The sequence below is a fragment of the Homo sapiens genome, chromosome 12, assembly GCF_000001405.40.
Source record: "Homo sapiens chromosome 12, GRCh38.p14 Primary Assembly".
NCBI classification, from domain to species: Eukaryota; Metazoa; Chordata; class Mammalia; order Primates; family Hominidae; genus Homo; species Homo sapiens.
The window spans coordinates 56837745-56849651 of NC_000012.12; positions in this window are offsets into that span (position 1 = coordinate 56837745).

Below are 11907 nucleotides of genomic sequence, written 5' to 3' on the forward strand. Positions count from 1 at the left end.
TAATCCTGAGATCTTATTGGGAAGCTGCTAATTACTAGGTTTGGGTGTTTCTATCTATTGGGAGGTTGCTTTCGCTGGTGCTGGCTGTGACCAATTATTTTTTAGAGACAATGCAACAACTGCCTGACCATCACCTGATTATTGCCTGACATTCCTGGTGGTGGGGGCTGAGAGTGGCCCTCTCCTGCCCTGCTCACCTCTGACTAGCTACCTACTGTAACAGAATCATCATGGAGGTGTTCAAGGAGGGAATTGCCTTTAAAAAGAGGGTTAGGTTCAGAGAGGAGGAAAAAGTTGGGCAAGGTGAACCTAGGAAGCTGCCAGTACCAGCAAGTTGGGATTTAGGTCCTCAAGGTGTAATGGGATTATTTCTGAAAACAAGGAGGGTTATGACTTTGTGAAACTCTTCAATCTTTAGTCAGTTAGTCAGATTTATATCTGAGATAGCAGAGGTCCTTTTTCGTCTGAGTTTTATTCCTATAAAAGGGAGAGGAAGAGGAGAGAAATAAAGAAGCATTTCTAGCATGGCCACTTTACTGTAGGCTCTGTGTCTAGGAAATTTTCAAGGATCCACAAAATTTCTTTTGGTTCTCAAACATTATTTTCTCCAGATTATAAGGACAATAGCAAAATAAAAAACACTGATTTGAGTGTAATTAGAATATATCAACCTCATTAGTTGATTAAATTTGTTCCTAAACATTATGGCATTTAAAAATAAATTATAGATTAGTTATCATTACCTGAAACAAATTCCTGATCCTGCAAGATGAAAAGTGATAAGTAATTATGTTAAAACAAATTAATGGTAGCCAAGTAATTTTCAGTGAACTAGTGATAGCCACATTTTAAAAAGATTTTGTTTTTGTTTATTAAAAACTATCACACAGTTTTATTTATGAGGCATTAGAATCTTCAGCTGTTTGAGCATGCCAGGGGGGTAATCCACGTGGGTAGAAAGCTAGCCAGGCGGGAGCAAAGACAGAAGGGATTCCATTTTCCCGGCCTTTTTTTGGCCTTAGTTTGTTGCCAAGTAAATCAGAAACCTAAGAAAAACAGATTAAGCGGTTTCCTTGTGAGTTTTAACCACAAATCTATGCTGCTGTCAAGAGCTGTAAGAAGGCTTTGCTTGCTCAAATCTCAAAAGGAAGACATTTTACTTTCCTCAAACAGAAATAGTCCCAGGGCTAAAATATTCACTTCCTTTGGTCATGCCTGGACCCAAGGCCCCGGGGACGGGAGGACTCCAGGGTCAGGGAGAGAATATTAATTCCCTATTTCCTTTCAAAATTTGGAGCAGAAGGGATATGTGCAGGAGGGAAATGCAAGATAACTACAGATTGAATTCTAAAGAAGGCAAGTCCTTGTGCTGCTCACCAACCTCCCTCTCCTGCACTCACCCCTCTCAATGCCCTGCCCTGATCCTTGAGAAAGTAAATATTAATTTGAACAGAGAAAGTATCTTTCTGGCTGGCCAAAGGGTTTTTTGAAGGACATGCTGCAACTGTAAAGTGTCTTAACGACCTCTTTCTTTGAGTGACTATAGACTTTTTACTCACTGAGAAATCTTGTTCTGTAAAAGCAAAGACTATCAAACACTTCAGTGTTTAAAATTCTATTGTAAGAGGCCAGGTATGGTGACTCACATCTATAATCCCAGCACTTTGGGAGGCCAAGGTGGGAGGATGGCTTGAGGCAAGAAGTTTGAGACCAGTTTGGGGAATAAAGCAAAACCTCATGTCTAAAAAAATTATATCATAAAAATGAATATCCCACCCTTGCCTGAGTCACTTTGACACAGAAGCAGCCTCATTATATAACCCAGGTGCAGAACTTTAGATAGGGGTTGCTGGAAACATTTCACATCTAAACTGTGCTTTCTAATGAAACAAGACCTTGGGACCATTTTGTAATCCAGACCTGGAGTTGATCTCTTTTCACAGAGCCCTGCTTTGCTTGGAGTCTATCAAGAAATTGCTTCATCTCCATATCCTATAATAATTCTCTTTTCCTTTGATCAGACAACCCATGAGTCCCCTGGTATGCAGTCTTCCTCATGGCAATAGGACAAAAGACCTGACTTTGTTGGACCTTAAGTTTATTCCTGGTGCCTCAGGCTGATTAGGAGACCTTTTGGCTTCAGCCTCTCCCTGTGGGGTTTTCTGTCCCTCACCCCTCAGAGGACTTGTGTAGGATGCCAGCTGGCCCTGAGGCCTGTGCCACATTGATGCAAGGATGAGAGTCAAGATCTGCCATGATAAGTCAAGGGAATGTGTAAAATGGCATGTTGGAACTCAGCTGCAGCTGGTCCTGCTGTCCTGCTCGGTGTACCCCCCAGCCACCAGAGGGCCCCAAATGGCCTGCTTTGGAGTTTCTCCAGCAATCATTGAAATTTGGCTCTTGTCTTACAGTCTTTGGTTAGGCTCACAAAGTTTCTGCCAATTCCCTGGGCTGCTTCAAAAACTCTAGCTTACAACTGATGGTAGGAAAACAACACCTAGAAAAACACAGACCATGCCTTAGTGATCAGAATATAGATGTGATTTGATTGCCTCATACTAAGACTCAGCTAGGGGTACTTTTTGAATAATAAAACTTATTAAGAATCCCCCTCGATTAATCAGGTCTTTCTCATCTTATGATTAAGTAAGCTTGGAAAACACTGATTTACACAAGTGATCCACCCTCAGTAAGGCAAAATAAAATGTAGACAGTGTAATTACCTCCTGCTTTAAAGGATGCAGCTAAGAATCCTTTTGTGAAGTAAGTTTCTCCAAATAAGAGTGAAAAAGAATAAGCACCTCTTATTTACTAAGTTAGCATTTTCATGCCCTGGATTTTTGAGGGCCACTGTTCTTGCAGTTTGCTTTCTATACCAGTTTCTATACCTTTATTATCTATACCTCCCTATCTTTCATTCATTCCCTCCTTCTACCCAGATATATACACGTACCACACAACCTGAATATTTCAGAGCAATCTTGATTCCAAGCATTCATTCACTGTTCTCATAAAAATGCTTGTATTTGTCAGTCCTAAGAACAGTCATCATTCATAATGTATCTGTCAGCAATGAAAACACATCCCCAGTATATGCCTAAGCTAACCCCTAATATTTTGTACCTGGAACATTATCTGGCTAACCAGAGACATTGAGGACAAAGCAATTTGTCTGAAGGACAGACTCCCCCACTGCCCCCGCCATCCATCCCCTGCACTGTACTCTGTCCCCCATGCATCCTTCACTCCCTGGGTGGCTGCAGCGATATTCTCTGTCTTGGTGATGTCCAGGGTCACCGTCTCCAGCCTGTCTGAAGTCTGGCCCCTCAGCTGCTCTGCCTCCTTCTCCATCAGACACATAGCCAGCACCCTCAAGCTTTGCGTATCCAGCTGTCTTGCCAGCAGATTCCCGAAGCCCGAGTCACAGCCCATGATGAAGCAGTTATCTCAAGGGAGGCTCACCACCTGTCTCTCCCACTACCAGCGCAGAAGGTAGTACAGGCCCACGAGGGCTATCAGGGAGAGTCCCATGGCAGGGGTCTCTCCTTCACCTTGGGAAAGAAAGAAAATCTTCTAAACCTTAAAAAGTATGTTCTCTGACCACAATGGAATTAAATTAGGAATAAATAACAGAAAAGTATCCAAAAAATCTCCCAGTAGTTGGAAAATTACAAAATATTTGGCTAAATGATACATGCATGGATTAAAAAAGAAATACAAAGAAAAATTAGAATATATTTCAACTGAGTGAAAATGAAAATGTGGTACATTAAAGTTTGTGGAGTGGGGCTAAGCTGTGCTTAGAGAGAAATTTATAACACTAAATGCCTATATTAGAAAAGAAGAAAGGTTTCTTTTTTTAACATTTATTTTAAGATCGGGGTACACGTGAAGGATTGTTACATAGGTAAACGTGTATCATGGGGTTTGTTGTGTAGATTATTTCATCACCCAGGTATTAAGGCTAGTACCCATTAGTTATTTTTCTTGATCCTCTCCCTATCCCCACCCTCAACCCTCTGATAGACCCCAGTGTTCATTGTTCCCCTCTATATATCCATGTGTTCTCATCATTTAGCTTCCACTTATAAATGAGAACATGTAGTATTTGGTTTTCTGTTCCTGCATTAGTCTGCTAAGGATAATGACCTCCAATTCCATCCATGTCCCTGCAAAGGACGTGATTTCATTCTTTTGAATGGCTACATAGTATTCCATTGTGTTTATGTACCACATTCTTTATCCAGTCTATCATTGATGGGCATTTAGGTTGATTCCATCTCTTTGCTATTGTGAATAGTGCTGGAATGAACATATGCATGTATGTGTCTTTATGATAGAGTAACTTACATTCCTTTGGGTATATACCCAGTAATGGGATTTCTGGGTTGAATGGTAGTTCTGTCTTTAGGTCTTTAAGGAATTGCCACACTGTTTTCTGTAACGGTTGAACTAATTTACACTCCCAACAGTGTATAGGTGTTTTTCTCTACAACCTTCCCAGCATCTGTTATTTTTCGACTTTTTAATACCAGCCATTCAGACTGGTGTGAAATGGTATCTCATTGTGGTTTTGATTTGCATTTCTCTAATGATCAGTGATGTCGAGCTTTTTTTTCCATATGCTTTTTGGCCACATGTTATGTCTTCTTTTGAAAAGTGTCTTTTCATGTCCTTTGTCCACTTTTTAATGTTTTTTTTCCCTTGTAAATTGGTTTAAGTTTCTTATAGGTGCTAGATATTAGATCTTTGCCAGACGCATAGTTTGCAAAACTTTTCTCCCATTCTGTAGGTTGTCTGTTTACTCTGTTGATATTTTTTTTTCTTACTTTCTTTCTTTTTCTTTTCTTTCTCTCTTTTTTCTTTTTTTTTTTTGAGACAAGAGTCTCACGCTGTCACCCAGGCTGGAGTGCAGTGGCACAATTTCAGCTCACTGCAGCCTCTGCCTCCTGGGTTGAAGCAATTCTCATGCCTCAGCCTCCTGAGTAGCTGGGACTACAGGCAGGCACCAGCATCCCTGGCTAATTTTTTTCTTTTTTTTTGGAGATGGAGTTTTGCTCTGTTGCCCAGACTGGTGTGCAGTGGCACGATCTCTACTCACTGCAACCTCCACCTCCCAGGTTCAAGCAATTCTCCTGCTTCAGCCTCTCGAGTAGCTGGGATTACAGTCACATGCCAACACACCCGGCTAATTTTTTATATTTTTGGTAGAGATGGGGTTTCGCCATGTTGGCCAGGCTGGTCTCAAACTCCTGACCTCAGGGAATCTGCCCACCTCGGCCTCCCAAAGTGTTGGGATTACAGGTGTGAGCCACCACGCTTGGCCCAATTTACTTTTAATCTATATATGTTTTTATATAAAAAGTGGGTTTCTTGTAGACAGACTACTGGTTGGGTCCTGTTTTTCTATTTCCTCAGACAAACCCTGTTAATTAATTGGTCTATTTAGACTATTGACATTCAAAGGGATTATTGACATAATTGAATTAGTATCTATCATATTTTTTGCTGTTTTCTATTTGTTGCTCTTGTTCTTTTTTCCTATTTTTGTCTTCTATTGTTTTTTCTGTCTTTTGTGGTTTTAATTGAGCATTTTATATGACTCTATTTTTTTTCTACTTTTTAAGCATATCAGTTGTACTTCTTTCTAAACTTTTTTTTTTTTTTGAGACGGTGTCTTGCTCTGTCGCCCAGGCTGGAGTGCAGTGGCGCAATCTCAGCTCAATGCAAGCTCTGCCTCCCCGGTTCATGCCATTCTCCTGCCTCAACCTCCTTAGTAGCTGGGACTACAGGCGCCTGCCACCATACCCGGCTAATTTTTTGTATTTTTAGTAGAGACGGGGTTTTGCTGTGTTAGCCAGGATGGTCTTGATCTCCTGATCTCGTGATCCGCTCGCCTCGGCCTCCCAAAGTGTTGGGATTACAGGCATGAAGCCACCGTGCCCAGCCTTAAAATTTTTTAGTTTAGTGGTTGCCCTAGAGTTTGCAATGTATATTTACAATTAATCCAAGTCCACTTTCAAATAACACTATACCACTTCATGGGTAGTGTGAGTAACAAAATAACAAAATAATAACAAAATAATTCTAATTCCTCTCTCCTGTCCCCTCTGAATCATTGCTGTCATTCATTTCACTTATACATATATGTTCTGTACATATGTGTGTATATTTATGTAGACACACACACATGCACACCCCCCCACACACACAATCATCCCTCAGTAACCACAGGAGATTGTTTCCAGGACCCCCTGGCCAATACCAAAATCTGCAGATGCTCAAATCCCTTATACAAATTGGCATAGTTTTTGCATATAGCCTATGTACATCCTCCTGTATTTTAACCTCCTGTAAATTATTATACTGTACTGTTTTAAAATCTGTATTATTTTTATTGTTGCATTGTTATTTTTAATTTTTTTTGAAAAACAATTTTTTCAGTCAAGGTCTTGCTCTGTCATCCAGGCTGGAGTGCAGTGGCATGATCATGGCTTACTTTAGTCTCAGACTCCTGAGCTTAAATGATCCTCCCACCTCAGCTTTTCAAGTAGCTGGGACTACAGGGGTGCACCACCACACCTAGCTAACTTTTTATTTTGTAGAGACTGGGACTTGCTATGTTGCTCAGGGTGGTCTTGAACTCCTAGCGTCAAGTGATCCTCCCGTGTACACTGGCCTCCCAAAGCACTTGAGATTAAAGGTGTGAGCCACTGTGCCTGGCCTTCTTTTTTGTGTGTGAATATTTTTGATCCACAGTTGGTTGAATCCACTAACGGGGAACCCACAGGTATGGGAGTATAATATATGTGTGTGTATGTGTGTATGTAAAATCAAATACATTGCTGCTATTATTATTTTGAACAAACTGTTACATCAATTAAGAATAAAATTATTTATTTTACTTTCACTTATTCCTTTTCTGATGCTCTTCTCTTCTTTATGTATTTTCAATTTTATTTTATTTTATTTTTTTGCTTTTTCCATGTAAGCCTTCCTGCACAACACTTCTTTATGTAGGTCTGAGTTCTGAACCAGAAGTTCTTGGTCTTCTATATTGATCTTATTTTTCTATGAAGACTGAATTCCTTATTTCTATACATGTGGTTGAAAATGTCTACCCTATCTGAAGAATCAATATCATGAAAATGGCCATACTGCCCAAGATAATTTATAGATTCAATGCTATCCCCATCAAGCTACCACTGACTTTCTTCATAGAATTGGAAAAAACTACTTTAAATTTCATATGGAACCAAAAAAGAGCCTGCATAGCCAAGACAATCCTAAGCAAAAAGAACAAAGCTGGAGGCATCATGCTACCTGACTTCAAACTACACTACAAGGCTACAGTAACCAAAACAGCATGGTATTGGTACCAAAACAGAGAGATAGACCAATGGAACAGAACAGAGGCCTCAGAAATAACACCACACATCTACAACCATCTGATCTTTGACAAACCTGACAAAAACAAGCAATGGGGAAAGGATTCGCTATTTAATAATTATTGCTGGGAAAACTCGCTAGCCATATGTAGAAAGCTGAAACTGGATCCCTTCCTTACACCTTACACAAAAATTAACTCAAGGTGGATTAAAGCCTTAAATGTAAGACCTAAAACCATAAAAACCCTAGAAGCAAACGTAGGCAATACCATTCAGGACATAGGCATGGGCAAGGACTTCATGGCTAAAACACCAAAAGCAGTGGTAACAAAAGCCAAAATAGAAAAATGGGATCTAATTAAACTAAAGAACTTCTGCACAGCAAAAGAAACAGAGAGAACAGGCAACCTACAGAATGGGAGAAAATTTTTGCAATCTATCCATCTGACAAAGGGCTAATATCCAGAATCTACAAAAAACTTAAACAAATTTACAAGAAAAAAACAACCCCATCAAAAAGTGGGCAAAGGATATGAACAGACGCTTCTCAAAAGAAGACTTTTATGCAGCCAACAGACATATGAAGAAAAGCTCCTCATCACTGGTCATTAGAGAAATGCAAATCAAAACCACAGTGAGATACCACCTCATGCCAGTTAGAATGGCGATCATTAAAAAGTAAGGAAACAACAGGTACTGGAGAGGATGTGGAGAAATAGGAATGCTTTTACACTGTTGGTGGGAGTGTAAATTAGTTCAACCATTGTGGAAGACAGTGTGATTATTCCTCAAGGATCTAGAACTAGAAATACCATTTGACCCAGCAATCTCATTCCTGGGTATATACCCAAAGGATGATAAATCATGCTACTATAAAGACACATGCACACATATGTTTATTGTGGCACTATTCACAATAGCAAAGACTTGGAACCAACCCAAATGTCCATCAGTAATAGACTGGATAAAGAAAATGTGGCACATATACACCATGGAATACTATGCAGCCATAAAAAAGGATGAGTTCATGTCCTTTGCAGGGACATGGATGAAGCTGGAAACCATCATTCTCAGCAAAATATCACAAGGACAGAAAACCAAACACTGCATGTTCTCACTCATAAGTGGGAGTTGAACAATGAGAACACATGGATACAGGGAGGGGAGCATCACACACCGGGGCCTGTTGGGGGGTGGGGGGCTGGGGGAGGGATAGCGTTAGGAGAAATACCTAATGTAAATGACGAGTTGATGGGTGCAGCAAACCAACATGGCATATGTATACCTATGTAACAAATCTGCATGTTATGCACATGTACCCTAGAACTTAAAGTATAATAATAATAATAGAGAAAATGTGCACCCTATCCGTACTTGGTCTCCAAGTTCAATAACTCAGCAGAGAATTAACAAGCGGCTCTGAGTCCCAATTCCAATTTCCAGATAATACGATAGGCTAACCAGGATCAATTCTACCTTTATCTGATAAACTGTGGTCAAAGGGATGGGAACATATGGCCCACTATCCACTCAGCAGACACAATGTGAGCACATCAAAGTAGGAGGGGCAAAATCTATCGAGAGGGGGTTATATGACACAAATATCTGGCACTTGGCATTTTTTTTTCATAGAATAATATAAATCATGCATATTCTGGACTAAAATCAAGTTGTTCTAAAATATGTTTATTTTTCTCTGATTATAAAATCTAACTCATTGTAGAAATTGTGAAGACTATAGATAATGTATTAGTCCATTTTCACACTGCTGTAAAGATAATATCTGAGACTGGGTAATTTATAAAGGAAAGAGGTTTAATTGACTCACAGTTCCACATGGCTAGGGAGGCCTCAGGAAACTTACAATCATGGTGGAATGCAAAGGGGGAAGCAAGCATAGGCAGCAGGAGAGAAAAGTGAGTGGGTGAGGAAATGCCATACTTTTAAAACCATCAGATCTTGTGAGAATTCCCTCACTATCACAAGAACAGCATGGGGGAAACTGCCCCCATGATCAAATCACCTCCCTTCCTCAACACGTGGGGATTACAGGACCCTCCTTTGACATGTGGGGATTACAATTGGAGATGAAGATTTGGGTGGGGACACAGCCAAACCATATCAGATAAGTATAAAAAACAAAATAAAAGTTAAAGGAAATCCTGCAACCTAGTAATAACTACTGTTAAGATCAATTGCATATCCTAGGTTTTCTTTTTTTTTTAACATTTATTTTAAGTTCAGGGCTACATGTGCACATTTATCATATAGGTAAACTTATGTCATGGGGGTTTGTTGTATAGATTATTTTATCCCCCAGATATTAAACCTTGTACTCATTAGTTATTTTTCCTGATCCTCTCCCTCCTCCCACCACCCACCCTCTCACAGGCCCTAATGTCTGTTGTTTCCCTCTATGTGTCCATGCGTTTTCATCATTTAGCTCCCACTTATAAGTGAGAACATGTGGTATTTGGCTTTCTGTTCCAGTATTAGTTTGCTAAGGATAATGGCCTCCAGTTCCATTTACGTTCCTACAGAGGACATGATCTCACTCTTTTTTTATAGCTGCATAGTATTCCATGGTGTGTATGTATCACATTTTCTTTATCCAGTCTACCATTGATGGGCATTTAGGTTGATTCCATGTATTTGCTATTGTGAATAGTGCTGCAATGAACATGCATGTGCATGTGTCTTTATGATAGCATAACTTATATTCCTTTGGATATACACCCACTAATGGGACTGCTGGGTTGAATGGTAGTTCTGTTTTTAGCTCTTTGAGGAATCACCACACTGATTTCCACAATGGTTGTACTAATTTACACTCCTACCAACAGTGGATAAGTGTTCCTTTTTCTCTGCAACCTTGTCAGCACCTGTTGTGTTTTGACTTTTTCTTTTTTATTTTATTTTATTTTCTTTTAAAATTTTACATAATAAATGGAGATGGGGGTCTCACTATGTTGACCAGGCTGGTCTTGAACTCCTGGTCTGAAGCGATCCTCCCATCTCAGCTTCCCAAAGTGCTAGGATTACAGGCATGAACCACCATGCCTGGCCGTTTTTTGACCTTTTAATACTAGCCATTCTGACTGGTGTGAGATGTTATCGTATCTCATTGGGGTTTTGATTGCATTTCTCCAATGATCAGTGAAGTTGAGGGTTTTTTTCATATGATTTTTGGCCGTATATATGTCTTTTTTTGAAAAGTGTCTGTTTATGTCCTTTGCCCAGTTTTCAATTTTTTTTTTCTTGTAAATTTGTTTAAGGTCCTTAAAGATGCTGGATATTAGACTTTTTTTTTTTTTTTTTTTACGAAGTCTCACTCTTTTGCCCAGGCTGGAGTGCAGTGGCATGATCTCAGCTCACTGCAACCTCTGCCTCCTGGGTTTAAGCGATTCTCCTGCCTCAGTCTCCCGAGTAGCTGGGACTACAGGCATGTGCCACCATGCCTAGCTAATTTATGTATTTTTTAGTAGAGATGGGGTTTCACCATGTTGGCCAGGATGGTCTCAATCTCTTGACCTTGTGATCTGCCTGCCTCAGCTTCCCAAAGTGCTGGGATTACAGGCATGAGCCGCCGCACCCGGCCTATAGTTTTAAGTTTTACACTTAAATCTTTAATCTGTCTTGAGTTGATTTTTATATATGGCATAAGGAAGGGGTCCAGTTTCAATTCTATATATGGCTAGCCAGTTATCCCAGCATCATTTATTGATTAGGGAATCCTTCCTCCATTGCTTGTTTTTGTGAGGTTTGTTGAAGATCAGATAGTTGTAGGTATGTGACATTACTTCTGGGCTCTGTATTCTGTTCCATTGGTCTATATGTCTGTTTTTGTACCAGTATCATGCTGTTTTGGTTACTGTCACCCTGTAATATAGTTTGAAGTTGGATAATATGATGCCTCCAGCTTCGTGTTTTTTTTTTTTTTTTTTTTTTTTTTTTTGCTTAGGATTGCCTTGGCTATTTGGTTTCTTTTTGGGTTCCATGTGAATTTTAAAATAGTTTTTTCTAGTTCTGTAAAGAATGTCATCTATAGTTTAATACGAATAACATTGAATCTGTAAATTGCTTTGGCCAGTATGGCCATTTATTGAAATCGATTCATCCTATTTAAGAGTATGGAGTGTTTTTCTATTTGTTTGTGTCATCTCTGATTTTCTCAGCAGTGTTTTGTAGTTCTCCTTGCAGAGATTTTTCACTTCCCTGGTTAGCTTATTTCTGAGTATTTTATTTTATTCTTTTTGTGGCAATTGTGAATGGGATTGTGTTCCTGATATGGCTCTTGGCTTAGCTGTTGTTGTTGTATAGGAATGGTCATGATTTTTTATTTATATATATGTTTTTTGAGACAGGGTCTCACTCTGTCATCCAGGCTGGAGTGCAGTGGGGTGATCTCAGCTCACTGCAACCTCCGCCACCTGAGTTCAAGTGATTCTCATGCCTCAGCCTCCCAAGTAGCTGGGATCACAGGTGTGAGTCAGCATGCCTAGCTAATTTTTGTATTTTC